At 37.8% G+C, this 20024-nt stretch overlaps 1 protein-coding gene across 1 annotated transcript in view; it reads right to left on the reverse strand.

The window, feature by feature from the left end:
- HCN1 (hyperpolarization activated cyclic nucleotide gated potassium channel 1) overlaps positions 1 to 20024 on the reverse strand; it is a 441433-nt gene that overhangs the window by 82771 nt on the left and 338638 nt on the right. The window contains exon 5 of the mRNA NM_021072.4: positions 15382 to 15528. Coding sequence (NP_066550.2) covers positions 15382 to 15528 — 147 coding nt within the window. The remainder of the gene's footprint in view (positions 1 to 15381; positions 15529 to 20024) is intronic.

The raw sequence follows: 20024 nt of genomic DNA on the forward strand, positions 1-20024 counted from the left end.
ATATGCATACAACAAAAACACTGATGTGATTGATGGAGAATGACTGAGAGGGAACTAATTTGGATGAGCTTCTCAGGGAAGGCCTCTTCAGGAGATAACATTTGTATTGAGATTTGAACAATAAGAATGGGCTAGTTATCTGCTAAAGGTGTTTCAACAATTTGTCTCTAACACACAAAAAAAGATAAATCACCTAATTTTTGCCACAAAAGTGAAAATAGGAGAATGCTTTCAATAAAGTAGTGTTTTTGAAATATCAGCTAACTGAATTAATTTTATATGCATGGTATGAGGTTTTTGTAAGAGGTTTCAAAGTTCTCACAAATGTAGTTCTTACCGCCATTTTACATCTTCGGGCTTCACAGTATTAAAACACATTGAAAGGAGAGTCTGAACTATAAAATGGATAAAACATAGTACAGACTTAACTGATAATGAATATAGACTAATTTTAACTTTCTTTACCACTGCATTTTACATTCTTTCTCTACTTTTAGGCAAAAGTCATTTGTATAAGTTTGTGAGACAATGAAGGTATGACCTATTCCTCACTTTTATAAGTTTCTGAATTCCCAGACTTGTGTTAAATCACTGCTCTTAACTATATATTAATGCCTCAAATTATGCAATACTTTCATAAGCTTTCTTATTTAATGAAGTATTTTAGGTTGAAATCATACTATAAGATAACATGTTGTTGACATAAAATTGAATTTATGATGAGCAATTCTAATCATGTATATTAGATGTGTGTATACACATTTTAATATTTTTATCTTTTGTCACAAAATACATATCAAATAATTGAACTTTGCCTTTCTGGATATCCTAGTTCACTCATTTAGCATTTATTTGTCATTCAATGTCTTCTATGTGCCAGGCACTTTCTAGACACTAAGAACATAACAGTGACCCAAACACACCTTTGCCTAAGTTGATTCCTCCTCTCCCAAGTGAAACACAGCTTTTGAAAGGTGAATTGATATATTTTACTGCTTTTTAGACATTTTTTGTAATCTATCACTGTGACTTGAATGTAGTAGGTACATAATACTCCAATTTGATGTTATATTTCTCATCGTTCTTACTAAACTTTTCTTCAAAAATCAGGTCTGGGTTTTTAGACTCAGTGTCATTTTAGTAATAACTTGTTATCTTTCTGCCATACGTTTCTTTACTTTCTTATTCTACTCATGCTTTTTCCCTTCAAATAAACTGTTAACTTATGTATAGCATTAAACTTAGACCTTTGTGTGATTCTGATATTAGAAAAGCAAAAGCTGAAGAGTAGGGAAGCACATGGAGAAACCCTGTTTTCACCTTTACAAGGTGTTAACTGGCTGAGCATTTCATGCTTCCACTTCTAGGATCTCTCATTTTATTAAGCAGTCATGATTCTTAGTATGATTTTCATTCACGACTCTGTTAAAGAAGACCTTTTACTCAGTAAATATTTCATGACTTCCTACTGCATGCTGGTTACTAGAAATACAAGGATATTAAGCACAGCTCCTATCCCCAAGAAGCTCATAGTCTTTAAAGAGATAATAAACTAACAAATGATAAATGCTGTGAGAGAGACAGAGTAGTGACAGAAAATTTATGAATGAGGTTAGGTAACTTATAAATGGTAAAAATGCTTACAGGAAAGTAGAAGGTAAGCTGAGTAGAAAGGAATGAAGATACGGTAGCATGAAGAAAGGCAAAAAGGCCATCAATAGCATTTATTTTCCAGGAAATTGTCAATAATACTCTATAGATGAAGCATTAATGTGAAGAAAGGAAGACTAAGGCAGGCCATGAAGAGCCTCTGTGTCATATGAAGGAGTTTGGGTGTTTTCCCTGAAGGGAATAAGAGGTCATGAGCAGGTTCTAAGAAGAAAGTTACATTGTCAAATTTGGGTTTTATATCAATCAATATGGTAGCTCTGTAATGGAATGCATTTTAGCTAATTGACATTCAAGCCAGGGAGAAAAGTTGTGACAGATGTTGAGGTAATGTTGAGAACCTGAATATGGCATTTAAATATATAAAGAAAAAATATTAGTCACAATTTAGCAATTGAATGATTGTAGGAATTGAGGAAATAAAAGGTTTGTCAGAGGATGCACGTAAAAGTGAAAAGTGGATATTTTTTCCAGTGAAGATCAGTGTAAATTATGGTGTGGCAGGAGGAAGAATAGTTTTTAATTTATGTATGTATTTATTTATTTTTTGAGACAGAGTTTTGCTCTTGTTGCCCAGGCTGGAGTGCAATGGCATGATCTTGGCCCACTGCAACCAGTGCCTCCCAGGTTCAAGTGATTCTCCTGCCTCAGGCTCCCTAGTAGCTGGGATTACAGGTGCCCACCACCACTCCCAGCTAATTTTTTTGTACTTTTAGTAAAGACTGGGTTTCACTATGTTGGTCAGGCTGGTCTCGAACTCCTGACCTCAGGCAACCCACCTGCATCAACCTCCCAAAGTACTGGGATTACAGGCATGAGCCACCATGTCCGGCTGGGAAGAATAGTTAATAAAACACATGACACAGAAAATGTTCTTGTTATCTTCATTATATATTACCTTGAGAATTTTCTGCCTAGAAGAATACTTCCCATTTAAGGGTACACATTACTAGGGTTCATTTTTATTCTCAGTTGTGCTGTTGTCTTTCTGCAGTCTTTCAATGAGATTTTATTCTGGAATCCTAACTTCTCCATGCCTTCTTAGAATATATGCTTCAATTTATCTTGTCTTTCTGTCTTTTGATTTGATATTTATTCCTGATACTGTCTGTTGGATTACCTTTGTCTCCTTGCTATGATCTGTCTCACTCTACTTTGAACCTCTCCAGGCCCCTGAGAATCCAATCTGGTTCCAGTGTCCTGAAATTCTGCTTTTCTTGTGAAGAAGTTTTAGATTTAAAAAGCAAAATATGTTGATAGAGTTTTTTTTTTTAAACAACTGATACCAGGGTCTTCAAAAAGCTTATGGAAGGTGCATATTATGAAAAAGCTATATATGAATTTCCTATTTTCTTTATCAAAATAAACTTGTAGAAACTTCTTACAACACATCTGAATAGGATCTAGTTTAAGGCACTAAGAAGAATGAGACATCAGTTTTAAAATAGCCTCTCTCAGAGCGATATGAATTATAAAATTGAAGCAGGAGCAAACATCCAATTCATGCTGAAGCTTGGATGGAAGAATGAGCTATCCATCTATAAACTGCTAATTCATTTGGGGCATCATTTCCATAAAGTTTTAGTAAAAAATCCTTTTTGCATTCCCTCAATGAGATTTTAACTAGATAACATTTCCTTAACTTCTTGGAATATATCCTTCATTCTATCTTATCTTTCTGTCTTTTTATTTGATCTTTATTCCTGATACTGTTTTGTAAAGAATGCTTCACAGAAACTTTATGGAAACAATGTCCTAAATGAATCAGCCGTTCACAGATGGATCACTCATTTTAAGAAGGAATGAGACAATGTTGAAGATGAAGCCCATAACAGCAGATCATCTGCATCAATTTGCAAGGAAAAAATTCAACCTGTTTTTGCCTTATTTGAAGGAGACCAATGATTAATAGCGGAAACAATAACCAACATCGTAGACATCACAATTGCTCAGCTTTCACAATTCTGACTCAAAAATTAAACTTAAGCAAACTTTCCACTCCATTAGTACCAAAACCATTGCAGCCAGATCAGCTGCAGATAAGAGTGGAGCTTTCAATGGAAGTTTTAAACAAATGTGATAAATATCCTGAAGCATTTCTTCAAAGAATTTTAACTGGAGATAAAACATGGCTTTGCAAGTATGATCTTGAAGACAAAACATGATAAAAATAATGGCTGCCAAGAGATGGAAGTGGTCCAGTCAAAGCAAAAGCAGACTGGTTAAGCGCAAAGGTGGCTCATGCCTGTAGTCTCTGTTACTCAGGAGGTTGAACTGGGAGGATCACTTGAGCCTGGGAGGTAAAGGCTGCAGTGAGCTATAGTTTCACCACTGCACTCCAGCCTGGATGACAGTGAGAACCTGTCTCAAGGAAAAATAACATCTGCTTATTATGAGAATATTTTCAGAGAGTTAGCTAAAGCTTTAGCAGAGAAACACCCAGGGAAGCTTCAGCAGAGTCTTCCACCACTACAACACTCCCACTCACTCTGCTCATCAAACAAGGGCAATTTTGTGAGAGTTTTGATGGGAGATCATTAGGCATCTACCTTATCATCTCAATTTGGCTCTGTTTGACTTATTTTTGTTTCCTAATATTAAAAAAATCTGTAAAGGGCACCCATTTTTCTTCAGTGAATAATGTGAACCAGATTGCGTTGACATGGTTAAATTCCCAGGACCCTCAATTCTTTAGGGATGAACAACATGGCTCGTATCATTGCTTAGAAAAGGGTCTTGAACTTGATAGAGGTTATGGAGCTTATGTGGAGAAATGAAGTGAATATTTTTACATTTATCTTTTAATTCCATTTTCTATGATCTTTTTGAAATCTTTTCATATATTTCTTTCCTTTTTTTTTTTTTGAGATGGAGTTTTGCTCTGTCACTGAGGCAGCAGTGCAGTGGATCTCAACTCACTGCAACCTCTGACTCCCAGGTTCAAGCAATTCCCCTGCCTTAGCCTCCCAACTAGCTGGGATTACAGGTGCATGCCACTACACCTGGCTATTTTTTTTTTTTTTGTATTTTTTATTAGAGATGGAGTTTGCCATGTTGGCCAAACTGGTCTTAAACTCCTGACCACAGGTGATCCACCTGCCTCGGCCACCCAAAATGCTGGGATTATAGGCAGGTGTGAGCCACTGCTCCCAGCTTATTTCTTTCTTTTAACAAAATATAAAAAATTGAAGTATATTTCCAAAAGCAAAAATAGTTATACATTCTAATTTGATTGAGAAATTTGTAGGGAAAATAAACTAACCAATAGCAGATATTTAGCCTCATATTTTTAAAACTCTTAACTGGTATCTTATGGCTATTCAAAAAATATAAAAAACTTTTAGTGGGTACAGAAATTTAGATAAGTTTATAAATGGTGAAGATATTAGTTGGAATACAAATACTTGTTTTTAAACTTATAGTAAACATACTAGGAATTTTAACAAAATTTGAAAACATAGACGAAATGTTCCTTGCACATAGGGGACTTTCAAGACAAAAGTGGAGAAAACAAATATGAAAAAATAATAATAACATGGGTAGAATGGATAAGTAGCACTCTTATATTACGGACTAAGTACACTGAGGGCCAGAGAAAGGAGATATAAGATCCAGTCTCATAGCTGATCAAATAAGATAAATAGAAATAAATAGGTATTATTTGAATTCAATTTTCCCAAGAGAGGAGAGACATTTCTGGAACACATGTGGTAAAGGTGAGAAATCATAACTGATTTTTTCAAAACAGCAAGTTGCACAATTTTGTTGTAGGCCACTTTGCAACAGACATGACAGTGGGGGAAAGGAAAGCTGGAGATTTAGCTGTAGTCAGAGTATAGAGGGACTGGAAGATGAGCTTAGGGAGTCTATACTTGATTCAATTTATAATGCAAAGACTGAAAGTTTCTGAGCAGAGAAATGACTAACTTATGTAAATAAAAGATTAATTTGACCGTGGTATTTTAAATGGTAGTCAGAGAAATCAGACCAAATGCTGGAAGGCAAACTAAGGGAACAGTGAAAATAGTCTATGTGAGATGCTTTAGTTTAGGACAATGGCAGTGGGAAAGGAAGCAAAGGCATGAATGTAAGATGTATTACTAAAGTTAATTGATAGCATTTGATGATTGGATGTACAGAGCACAGAAAGAAAAGCTGCAAAATAGGGCTAAAGTTTTACATTCCAAATAACTTGTGAGAATGACTAAAGAATGTACAGAGAGACTTTAAGAGATAAAATGGTTTAATGATGGAAGAAAAATGACTTCATTATATAATCTACTACATGTGTGGGTGCAGGGGATATCATTTAGCTTTAGAGGAAATGAACTTTAAGGCAGGAACTTAGAACTACAGTTTATAGAATTGAAATGTGAGATAATATAAATAAAAGATAATAAATTCAAAGATACAGAATGAAAATCCAATGGCTCAGAAATGTTGCAGTGTTAAAGAAGCCAAAAAAAAATTAAAAATAAAAAAAATATATATATTGGGAGAGATTCAGGAACTGTGTTTTGTTAACAGCATAAAAAGTGGTCCCAGCATCTTAGAAAAATTATCAATAATTAACAGGTGTATTAGTATATTATAATGCTGTTAATAAAGACATAACTGAGACCGAGTAATTTATAAACAAAAGAGCTTTATTTGACTCACAGTTCAGCATGGTAGGGGAGGCCTCAGGAAACTTACACTTATGGTAAAAGGGGAAGCAAACATGTCCTTCTTCACAAGATGGCAGCAAGGAGAAGTGATGAGCAAAAGGGGAAGAAGCTCCTTTTAATACCATCAGATCTTGGGAGAACTCACTCACTATCACAAGAATAGCAGCATGCGGGTAACTGCCCCATGATTCAATTACCTCCTACCAGGTACCTCCCATGACATGTAGGGATTATGGGAGCTACAATTCAAGATGAGATTTGGGTGGGAACAGAGCCAAACCATATCATTCCACCCCTGCCCCCTACCAAATCTCATGTCCTCACATTTCCAAACCAATAATTCCTTCCCAACAGTCCCCCAAAGTCTTAATTCATTTCAGCATTAACTCAAAAGTCAACAGTGCAAAGTCTCATCTGAATCAAGGAAAGTCTCTTCTGTCTATGAGCCTGCAAACTCAAAAGCACATTACTTACTTCCTAGATACAATGAGGGTATAGGCATCAGGTAAATACAGCTATTCTAAATGGGAGAAATTGGCCAAAATGAAGAGGTAAAGGCCTCATGCAAATCCAAAATAAGCAGGGCAGTCAAATCTTAAAGCTCCAAAATGACCTCCTTTGACTCCATGTCTCACATCCAGGGCATGCTGATGCAAGAGGTGGGCTCGCATGGCCTTGGGCAGCTCTATCCCTGTGGTTTTGCAGGGTACAGCCCATCTACCAGCTGCTTTCATGGGTGGGGATTCATTGAGTATCTGCAGTTTTTCCAGTTGCAGGGTGCAAGATGTTGGTGGATCAACCATTCTGGGGTCTGGAGGATGGTGGTCCTCTTCTCACAGCTCCACTAGGCAGTGACCCAGTGGAGACTCCCTGTGGGGGTTCTGACCTCACATTTCCCTACCACACTGCCCTAGCAGAGGTTCTCCATGAGGGCCCTGTCCCTGCAGCAAACTTCTGCCTGGACATCCACGCATTTCCATACATCCTCTGAAATCTAGGTGGAGGTTACCAAACCTCAGTTCTTGACTTTTGTGACCCCCACAGGCTCAACATCATGTGGAAGATCCCAAGGCTTGGGGCTTGCACCCTCTGAAGCCACAGCCTGAGCTGTACCTTGGCCCCTTTTATCAATGGCTGAAACAACTGGGATGCAGGGCACCAAGTCCCTAGGCTGCACACAGCAGGCAGCCTGTGGGCCCAGCTCATGAAACTATTTTTTCCCCCTAGACCTCCAGGTCTGTGATGGGAGGGGCTAATGGGAAGGTCTCTGACATGCCCTGGAGATATTTTCTCCATTATCCTGGTGATTAACATCCAACGCCTTGTCACTGATGTAAATTGCTGCAGAAGGCTTGAATTTCTCCCCAGAAAGTGGGCTTTTTCTTTTCTACTACATGGTCACGCTGCAAAATATTTCAAAGTTTTATGCTCTGTCAACTTTTGAACACTTTGCTGCTTAGAACTTTTTTTCCACTAGATACCCTAAATTATTTCTCTCAACTTCAAAGTTCCACAAAGATCTCTATGGCAGGGGCAAAATGCCACCAGTCTCTTTGCTAAAGCATAACAAGAGTCACCTTTGCTCCAGTTCCTAACAAGATCCTCATCTCCATCTGAGACCATCTCAGCCTGGGCTTTATTGACCATAGCACTTTCAGCATTTTGGTCAAAGCCATTCAACAAGTCTCTAGGAAGTTCCAAACTTTCCCACATTTTACTCTCTTCTTCTGAACCCTCCAAACGGTTTCAATCTCTGCCTGTTACCCAGTTCCAAAGTCACTTCCACAATTTCAGGTATCTTTGAAGCAGTGCCCAACTACTCTGTACCAGTTTACTGAAATAGCCTGTTCTCATGCTGCTAATAAAGACATACTCGAAAATGAGTTATTCATAAAGGAAAGAGGTTTATTTGACTCATAGTTCAGCATGGCTGGGGAGGCCTCAAGAAACTTACAAGCATGGCAGAAGGGGAAGCAAACACGTCCTTCTTTGCTTGGTGGCAGAAAGAAGAAGTATCGACCAAAAGGGATAAAAGCACCTTTTAAAATCATCAGATCTCGTGAGAACTTACTCACTAGCAAGAACAGAGCATGTGGTAACCATCCCCATGATTCAATTACCTCCCACGGGGTCCCTCCCATGATATGTGGGAAATGTAGAAGCTACAGTTCAACATGACAGGTCATTGACAACTTTCAAATGAAAAACTTTGGTAAAGAAGCTAAGACCAAACCATAATTCATTGAGTACATAGAAACCTTTTGAGAAGATTGGCAGTAAAAGAAAGGAGAGGGCAAAGAAGTGTAAGAAATATGAATAATGGTTGGCAGCCAAGATGGCTGAATAGGAACAGCTCTGGTCTACAGCTCCCAGCGTGAGTGACACAGAAGATGGGTGATTTCTGCATTTCCATCTGAGGTACCGGGTTCATCTCACTAGGGAGTACCAGACAGTGGGCACAGGACAGTAGGTGCAGTGCACCATGAGCGAGCTGAAGCAGGGCGAGGCACTACCTCACTCAGGAAGCGCAAGGGGTCAGGGAGTTCCCTTTCCTAGTCAAAGAAAGGGGTGACAGATGGCACCTGGAAAATCGGGTCACTCCCACCCTAATACTGCGCTTTTCTGATGGGCTTAAAAACCGGCACACCAGGAGATTATATCCTGCACCTGGCTTGGAGGGTCCTACATCCATGGAGTCTCACTGATTGCTAGCACAGCAATCTGAGATCAAACTGCAAGGCAGCAGCGAGGCTGCGGGAGGGGCACCCTCCATGGCCCAGGCTTGCTTAGGTAAACAAAGCAGCCGGGAAGCTTGAACTGGGTGGAGCCCACCACAGCTCAAGGAGGCCTGCCTGCCTCTGTAGGCTCCACCTCTGGGGGCAGGGCACAGACAAACAAAAAGACAGCAGTAACCTCTGCAGACTTAAATGTCCCTGTCTGACTGCTTTGAAGAGAGCAGTGGTTCTCCCAGCACGCAGCTGGAGATCTGAGAACAGGCAGACTGCCTCCCCAAGTGGGTCCCTGACCCCTGATCCCCGAACAGCCTAACTGGGAGGCACCTCCCAGTAGGGGCAGACTGACACCTCACAGGGCTGGCTACTTCTCTGACACAAAAACTCCAGAGGAACGATCAGACAGCAGAATTTGTGGTTCACGAAAATCTGCTGTTCTGCAGCCACCGCTGCTGATACCCAGGCAAACAAGGTCTGGAATGGACCTCTAGCAAACTCCAACAGACCTGCAGCTGAGGGTCCTGTCTGTTAGAAGGAAAACTAACAAACACAAAGGACATCCACACCAAAAACCCATCTGTACATCACCATCGTCAAAGAACAAAAGTCGATAAAACCACAAAGATGGGGAAAAAACAGCAGAAAAACTGGAAACTCTAAAAAGCAGAGCACCTCTCCTCCTCCAAAGGAACGCAGTTGGTCACCAGCAACGGAACAAAGCTGGATGGAGAATGACTTTGATGAGTTGAGAGAAGAAGGCTTCAGACGATCAAACTACTCCGAGCTACAGGAGGAAATTCAAACCAAAGGCAAAGAAGTTGAAAACTTTGAAAAAAATTTAGACGAATGTATAACTAGAATAACCAATATAGAGAAGTGCTTAAAGGAGCTGATGGAGCTGAAAGCCAAGGCTCGAGAACTACGTGAAGAATGCAGAAGCCTCAGGAGCCGATGCGATCAACTGGAAGAAAGGGTATCAGTGATGGAAGATGAAATGAATGAAATGAAGTGAGAAGGGAAGTTTAGAGAAAAAAGAAGAAAAGGAAACAAACAAAGCCTCCAAGAAATATGGGATTATATGAAAAGACCAAATCTACGTCTGATTGGTGTACCTGAAAGTGACGGGGAGAATGGAACCAAGTTGGAAAACACTCTGCAGGATATTATACAGGAGAACTTCCCCAATCTAGCAAAGCAGGCCAACATTCAGATTCAGGAAATACAGAGAACGCCACAAAGATACTCCTTGAGAAGAGCAACTCCAAGACACATAATTGTCAGATTCACCAAAGTTGAAATGAAGGAAAAAATGTTCAGGGCAGCCAGAGAGAAAGGTCGGATTACCCACAAAGGGAAGCCCATCAGACTAACAGCAGATCTCTCAGCAGAAACTCTACAAGCCAGAAGAGAGTGGGGGGCCAGTATTCAAAGTTCTTAAAGAAAAGAATTTTCAACCCAGAATTTCATATCCAGCCAAGCTAAGCTTCATAAGTGAAGGAGAAATAAAATACTTTACAGACAAGCAAATGCTGAGAGATTTTGTCACCAGCAGGCCTGCCCTAAAAGAGCTCCTGAAGGAAGCACTAAACATGGAAAGGAACGACCGGTACCAGCCACTGAAAAATCACACCAAATTGCAAAGGCCATCAAGGCTAGGAAGAAACTGCATCAACTAACAAGCAAAATAACCAGCTAACATCATAATGACAGGATCAAATTCACACATAACGATATTAACTTTAAATGTAAATGGACTAAATGCTCCAATTAAAAGACACAGACTGGCATATTGGATAAAGAGTCAAGACCCATCAGTGTGCTGTATTCAGGAAACCCATCTCATGTGCAGAGACACACATAACATAGGCTCAAAATAAAAGGATGGAGGAAGATCTACCAAGCAAATGGAAAACAAAAAAAAGGCAAGGGTTGCAATCCTAGTCTCTGATAAAACAGACGTTAAACCAACAAAGATCAAAAGAGACAAAGAAGGCCATTACATAATGGTAAAGGGATCAATTCAACAAGAAGAGCTAACTATCCTAAATATATATGCATCCAATACAGGAGCACCCAGATTCATAAAGCAAGTTCTGAGTGACCTACAAAGAGACTTAGACTCCCACACAATAATAAAGGGAAACTTTAACACCCCACTGTCAACATTAGACAGATTAACGAGACAGAAAGTTAACAATGATACCCAGGAATTGAACTCAGCTCTGCAGCAAGCGGACCTAATAGACATCTACAGAACTCTCCACCCCAAATCAATAGAATATACATTTTTTTCAGCACCACACCACACCTCTTCCAAAATTGACCACATACTTGGAAGTAAAGCTCTCCTCAGCAAATGTAAAAGAACAGAAATTATAACAAACTGTCTCTCAGACCACAGTGCAATCAAACTAGAACTCAGGATTAAGAAACTCACTCAAAGCCACTCAACTACATGGAAACTGAACAACCTGCTCCTGAATGACTACTGGGTACATAACGAAATGAAGGCAGAAATAAAGATGTTCTTTGAAACCAATGAGAACAAAGACACAACATAACAGAATCTCTGGGACACATTCAAAGTAGTGTGTAGAGGGAAATTCATAGCACTAAATGCCCACAAGAGAAAGCAGGAAAGATCCAAATTTGACACCCTAACATCACAATTAAAAGAACTAGAAAAGCAAGAGCAAATACATTCAAAATCTAGCAGAAGGCAAGAAATAACTAAAATCAGAGCAGAACTGAAGGAAATAGAGACACAAAAAACCCTTCAAAAAATTAAAGAATGCAGGAGCTGGTTTTTTGAAAGGATCAACAAAATTGATAGACCGCTAGCAAGACGAATAAAGTAGAAAAGAGAAAAGAATGAAATAGATGCAACAAAAAATGATAAAGGGGATATCACCACCGATCCCACAGAAATACAAACTGCCCACAGAGAATACTACAAACACCTCTACGCAAACTGACTAGAAAATCTAGAAGAAATGGAAAGATTTCTCGACACATACACCCTCCCAAGACTAAACCAGGAAGAAGTTGAATCTCTGAATAGACCAGTAACAGGCTCTGAAATTGTGGCAATAATCAATAGCTTACCAACCAAAAAGAGTCCAGGACCAGATGGATTCACAGCCGAATTCCACCAGAGGTACAAGGAGGAACTGGTACCATTCCTTCTGAAACTATTCCAATCAATAGAAAAAGAGGGAATCCTCCCTAATTCATTTTGTGAGGACAGCATCATCCTGATACCAAAGCTGGGCAGACACACAACCAAAAAAAAGAATTTTAGACCAATATCCTTGATGAACATTGATGCAAAAAGCCTCAATAAAATACTGGCAAACCGAATCCAGCAGCACATCTAAAAGGTTATCCACCGCGATCAAGTGGGCTTCATCCCTGGGATGCAAGGCTGGTTCAATATATACAAATCAATAAATGTAATCCAGCAAATAAACAGAACCAAAGACAAAAACTACATGATTATCTCAATAGATGCAGAAAAGGCCTTTGACAAAATTCAACAACTCTTCATGCTAAAAACTCTCAATAAATTAGGTATTGATGGGGCGTATCTCAAAATAATAAGAGCTATCTATGACAAACCCACAGCCAATATCATACTGAGTGGGCAAAAACTGGAAGCATTCCCTTTGAAAACTGCCACAAGACAGGGATGCCCTCTCTCACCACTCCTATTCAACATAGTGTTGGAAGTTCTGGCCAGGGCAATCAGGCAGGAGAAGGAAATAAAGGGTATTCAATTAGGAAAAGAGGAAGTCAAATTGTCCCTGTTTGCAGATGACATGATTGTATATCTAGAAAACCCCATTGTCTCAGCCCAAAATCTCCTTAAGCTGATAAGCAACTTCAGCAAAGTCTCAGGATACAAAATCAATGTACAAAAATCACAAGCATTCTTATACACCAACAACAGACAAACAGAGAGCCAAATCATGAGTGAACTCCCATTCACAATTGCTTCAAAGAGAATAAAATACCTGGGAATCCAACTTACAAGGGACGTGAAGGACCTCTTCAAGGAGAACTACAAACCACTGCTCAATGAAGTAAAAGAGGATACAAACAAATGGAAGAACATTTCATGCTCATGGGTAGGAAGAATCAATATCGTGAAAATGGCCATACTGCCCAAGGTAATTTATAGATTCAATGCCATCCCCATCAAGCTACCAATGACTGTCTTCACAGAATTGGAAAAAACTACTTTAAAATACATATGGAACCAAAAAAGAGCCCGCATCACCAAGTCAATCCTAAGCCAAAAGAACAAAGCTGGAGGCATCACGCTACCTGACTTCAAACTATACTACAAGTCTACAGTAACCAAAACAGCATGGTACTGATACCAAAACAGAGATATAGATCAATGGAACAGAACAGAGCCTTCAGAAATAATGCCGCATATCTACAACTATCTGATCTTTGACAAACCTGAGAAAAACAAGCAATGGGGAAAGGATTCCCTATTTAATAAATGGTGCTGGGAAAAGTGGCTAGCCATATGTAGAAAGCTGAAACTGGATCCCTTTCTTACACCTTATACAAAAATCAATTCAAGATGGATTAAAGATTTAAACGTTAGACCTAAAACCATAAAAACCCTAGAAGAAAACCTAGACATTACCATTCAGGACATAGGCGTGGGCAAGGACTTCATGTCCAAAACACCAAAAGCAATGGCAACAAAAGACAAAATTGACAAATGGGATCTAATTAAACTAAAGAGCTTCTGCACAGCAAAAGAAACTACCATCAGAGTGAACAGGCAACCTACAACATGGGAGAAAATTTTCGCAACCTACTCATCTGACAAAGGGCTAATATCCAGAATCTACAATGAACTCAAACAAATTTATAAGAAAAAAACAAACAACCCCATCAAAAAGTGGGCAAAGGACATGAACAGACACTTCTCAAAAGAAGACATTTATGCAGCCAAAAAACACATGAAAAAATGCTCATCATCACTGGCCATCAGAGAAATGCAAATCAAAACCACAATGAGACACCATCTCACACCAGTTAGAATGGCGATCATTAAAAAGTCAGGAAACAACAGGTACTGGAGAGGATGTGGAGAAATAGGAACACTTTTACACTGTTGGCGGGACTGTAAACTAGTTCAAACATTGTGAAAGTCAGTGTGGCGATTCCTCAGGGATCTAGAACTAGAAATACCATTTGACCCAGCCATCCCATTACTGGGTAATACCCAAAGGACTATAAATCATGCTGCCATAAAGACAGATGCACACGTATGTTTATTGCGGCACTATTCCCAATAGCAAAGACTTGGAACCAACCCAAATGTCCAACAAGGATAGACTGGATTAAGAAAATGTGGCACATATACACCATGGAATACTATGCAGCCATAAAAATGATGAGTTCATGTCCTTTGTAGGGACATGGATGAAATTGGAAATCATCATTCTCAGTAAACTATCGGAAGGACAAAAAATCGAACACCGCATGTTCTCACTCATAGGTGGGAATTGAACAATGAGAACACATGGACACAGGAAGGGGAACATCACACTCTGGGGAGTGTTGTGCAGTGGGGGGAGGGGGAGGGATAGCATTAGGAGATATACCTAATGCTAAATGACGAGTTAATGGGTGCAGCACACCAGCATCGCACATGTATACATATGTAAGTAACGTGCGCATTGTGCACATGTACCCTAAAACTTAAAGTATAATAATAATAAAATAAAATAAAGAAATATGAATAACCAAGAGCAAGTTATTTTGGTCCAGGAGTGATCTGAATATTCTAGTGGGAAGAAGGCAGATTTCTAGGGAGGAACAGAAAGATGATGCAAAGCAAAGAGGTGGTTATTAATGTTGCAAAGTGTTTGAATGAGATAATAGGAAATGAACTGCTCACAGCAAGTCATTGTCTTATCAGGGTCCATGAGATGATCCAGGAAAGTGAAGATGGGAGGAAGAATAGGAATCAAAAAGAAGAATCAGTTTGATAAGAATGAGGGGGAGAAAAATGGGGACAATATAGACAATGAGGCCACAAGAAGGAATTTTAAAGAGCCAGAAATACAGACAAGAGAACAGTTCTGAGGATCATAAATAGAACAATTTTCCAATACTTTTTTCAACATTTAAGAGCTTATGTAGGTGAGAAGCTAAAGAAGATAAGGACAAAATATCTTAATAAGTTTAGGTTTTTCTTTAGAGTAACGTGGACTAGAAGATTCTCCATGAAGAGAGAAAATAAACAATGATTATGTATTATGCATACTGAGGACAATAAATCTTACCTCTCTCAGAGGATCATTGAGTTCATTGAGAATATTTTCCTCATCAAAGATTTTGCCTTGGTATCTGTGTTCATAGTAATCATGTATCTTCTGACGCATATCAGCTGGTAACTTATGGAATGACATGTATTGTTCCACTTGCTTATACTGTAAGGAAGGGAAAATAAAATTAAAAAAAAACATTGTTAGGGTGTATCAGAAATCATATTATTTTGTTTTGCTATATTCAATAATATTTGAATACTCAGTTACAAAAAAAAAGAAATCCTTTAAGATGAAGGAACTAATTTACCTGGGTCTAATGTACCTATTTTGTGTTACATAATGTATAAGGCATTTTATTTAGGTGCACATTTCATGGAAAGAACTAAGATATCGTGGAGAGGAGGCATGAAGGGAGTTAAGAGTGAATTTAAGGGAGTAGCTACAGAAAAGCCAGTGATGGGGCAAAAACAAAATGTTATGCTATTTTTTTAAATTGAGTTCTAAAAGAAGTATGAAATTGTTTGGCTGTCGATTTTTAAGAAAAATCTCATACCTATGGATAGTACAATAGGTTTTATCTTAGGCTTTTTGGCAAAAGATCAGAATCTAATTAAATTTGGAATCGACAGGCAGGGAGCTTGGCAGGTATTTGCAGATCATTCATACTTCAACAACACAGATGCCCTGTAAATTACTGAGAACTAAGAGACTATGGCAGGCTTCCAATTTAGGATTTAGGAGAATATCACGGTGAGACTAGATCCACATTACTGTATAGCTGAAAGTTAACTTAGACACTGAAGTTCATTTAAACAAGTAGGCGTCAACTGTGATTGTTTTAAGAACTGGGGAGGGCATTGCTTTTTTGGAAGGCTGATCTTCAGGCTTAATTCCCGAGATTGATTCTATTGACCTATCTGCCTATTTATATTTATACACACATGCGCGTGCACACACACACACCCAGAGAGAGAGAGAGAGATTGTTTGTAAGTAGCATCCCTGCATCCCTGATAGTCAAACAGGACCATATAAGCATGGATATTACCTGGGTGCCTATTAGAAGAGAATAATTTCAAGCCTCATCCAAGACCTATGGAATAAGAATTTGCATCTTAAAAACGTCTCCAGATGACTCACGTGCATAGATATACACCTTAAAGTTTGAGAAACAATCCCTAGGTGTTTCAAATGCAGGGGGTCATAAGACCACACACTGAAAAAAAAATAATTAGGTCTTAAAAATTTTGTTTCATTGTATAGATGACAGCATCGAGTACAAATTTTAATAGTTGGTAACACAACTGGATAAAGATGTCAAAATAATATTTTTCCTCATGTAACACACATTTGATATACTTTATATGGACAAGATTTTCTGAAATATTTTCTTGATAACACAGCTCTGACTAGATCTAGATCTCCTGACTCTTTGCCCATAATTATTGTAATTGTACTTGGTAATTGATAATAGACCTAGCTAATGAGAAACAGCAACCCATTTTATTGCATCTCTTCATTTTTTCCAACATACTTTCATTTTGCAAAAAAATTATATTGTTTGAACATTCCCTTTTGAACATTAGTACCCTCAAAGGAAATACCACTTTGTCGTGAGACTTTCTTTGATAACCAGACTGTCCATCAAACTATTTAAAGCCTGAAGGCCTATGTACATCTCTCTGAAGTAACTTGCTTGCTCAAACACTACTTGGAGGGGTGAGAATCTGAAACCTTAACTGACACATTGAGATCTTCATTTCTACTTTCTTTTCCATGCATCTCAGAAATATGAAGAGCAGCACTGAAACTTAGTAGTATTTTATTCATTTTTGGGAAATTAGTGCTTGTATGCAAAGACCTACTAATCTAGGGAAAATATAATCTGCTCTATCTCTGTCTCTGAATTTGGAAAATTAATCCCTTTGTAGCTAAGAACAAATGTTACATGTATAGTTATTTTATTTTTATGAAGCTTAGGGTTGATTGAATCTAATTGTTTTTCCTCACACAAGTCATTTAACCCTTCCAGATCTCATTTATGAATCAACAATAAGAGAGTATTTGACTAAATGATCTTCCTTTTACTTTCAAACTAAAATTTTAAAGTTATATGACTATTTCTTATCATTTATTCATATTGTTTGAAGTTTGAATCTATATTACTATTTTAAGCATTCATTGACTCATAGTAACTATTGATCTAGCAAACATTAAATGATTATTGTATGCCAGTAGTTCTCAAGGTGTGGTTGCCAAACCACCAATAGCACTTGGGAATTCTTTATAAATACACATTCACAGTCTCCACTCCAGACCTACTGAATCAGAAACTCTACATTTGGGACACAGCAGTATGTGTTTTAACAGGTCCTTCATACACAAAAATTTCATAATCGCTGCTATATGCCAAGTACTGTGTCATCTTAGGACATAAGGAAGCATGCTTGAGTGAGCGTGGGGGAAACAAAGTAAATTTAGTTTTCAGCAAGTTAAGTTTAAGATGCCCATAGCACATCCTAATGCCTCTATGTAGGTCAGGCACTCAGAGAAGAAAATATATACATCATTGGTGACTAAGAAGTCACTAAGGGAGGATGTGTCAAATGAGGCGAAAAGGCTAAAAAGTGGAACTTATGTTTTAAAATCAGCTGAGCCAGGAGACTGATTAATTAAGGGTACTGTTAATACCTGCCAAGATGTGAGAGCAGAACCAGAAAAACATGATTAGAAAATCCAAAGAAGGATTAAATTTCACAGGGGGTGTGGTCAAAAGGAATCTATTCTAAGAAAACAGGTACTGAACAGTGGCCAGTGAATTTGGAAATTAGGTAGTAATCTCTGTTAGAATACAACACACTAAAAACAGGAGCTTTTTCTTTTTCTTTTTGTCTGTTTCTCCCACACCTAACAAGACTTGCAAGAATGTATGAAAATATCACTTCCATGTGATGTGAATAAAAATAACCAACTATTCTTTGAAAAAGACACTTAGTAGTGGTAGTCAGACCGTGAAACAAACTAGATGTTACAAGTAATGTGTAAGTTGGCAAAGTCAAAAAATGATAAAATGGCAAACTTTCTAATAGTTGTAGTAATATACTATATGCAAAATATGACTTAGTATATTTAGTAGTCACAGACAAATAGATTTTTGAAAAGCAAGGATGCCAATACAATTCTTTGGAAACATAAGATCAAAAGTTTATTCCATCAGATCTAAAGAGACTATAAAATAATTATCACTTAAAATTCTAATATATTTTTATTTTTAAAAGTTTCTGTATAATTATAAAAATTTATAAAAGTATGCATGTACATGATTATTAAAAATGAGATCTAACAAGAGTGTTTATAAAACACGGCAAGGATCCAGTTTCAAACCCACCAGTCTCACTTTTCCATGTTAAAAGGTGTTTAATCCATATCACTAAGCAATATGCTTGTTCCCGTTTCTTATATAGATAATTACAGGCATTGTTTATAAACTAACTGTCATAAAATGGTGTTTTGCCACTTACAGTACCCCAAATCTTCCTTTCTCATGCTATAGCTGTGTCACTAGTGTTAATTCTTACCTTAGTTGCTTTGTACCTTTATGCACCATGTTTACTATTATTTCTTGTTCAGATAACTCTAAGATACTTTACCAGGTGAAAGTAAAAAAACTCCCTCGTTCACTTTCATTTGATGACTTCTGTCATCTCTAATGTTACAATGTAAAGGTAGATTATAACTTTGTTCCTATAATTGGAACTTCCAAACTCATAGTGTTAACATTACTCTGGCCATGTAAATATTTACCACAAAGCCAAATGGTGTGAGTATTTGATGACATTTCCTTTCTTGCTCATCAGTAGATTAACAAGACTTGTTCATCCAATGGATTTGTTAATCCTGCAATTGCTGATCACATTTATTTCTTGGGTAATTAGCCTTCATTTAGTATTATTTTTTTTCTAGCCTCCTTATCCCACCAGATAGACATTGAGTTTTTTCTTCAAAGATTTTCCTATAGAATTTCTCTTTACAACATCCTTGGTTTGGCTCAGTATTTCTAAATGCCATGTTTCTGTTTTGGTTTATTTATTCATGTTGCTGGAAAAAATCCCCAAGTAAACGACTAAGAAAGATTGTATGTTTTCTGAATCTTTCCATGTCTGAAATTGTCTTTATTAAACTCTCAAAGTTGACTCCATATAGAATTCTAGGTTGAACTCCTCTAGTTGGATGTTGAGGCTTTGGATCTGAATTTGATTCTCTATGCTGGATTTGATTTGTTTCTTATCTTTATTTAATGTATTTAGTCTCTGCATTTTCTCCTACCTTTCTCTGCATTCCCTACATTTTCTCTATATTTCCCCAACATTTCCCCTACATTCTAGAATATTTTCTGAAATTCTTAGAAAACATTAATTCCGCCTCCTTTTCGTTGATCATTTATTTCTGTACTTTTAATATTTTTAGTTTAAAAATATACTAATATGAGATTTTTGAAAATGATTTTTAGGCCGCTTTTATTCTCCAAAATATGTGACATGTCTAAATGTGAATTCAAAATTACCCTCTAGATTTAGTTTCAGTAATGTCTTTGGTGACCTTTCCCTATGTGTGTATGTTAGGAGTAGGGATCATGTTACAAAGCAGACTGTAATGATT

Source organism: Homo sapiens, chromosome 5 (genome assembly GCF_000001405.40).
Source record: "Homo sapiens chromosome 5, GRCh38.p14 Primary Assembly".
NCBI lineage: Eukaryota > Metazoa > Chordata > Mammalia > Primates > Hominidae > Homo > Homo sapiens.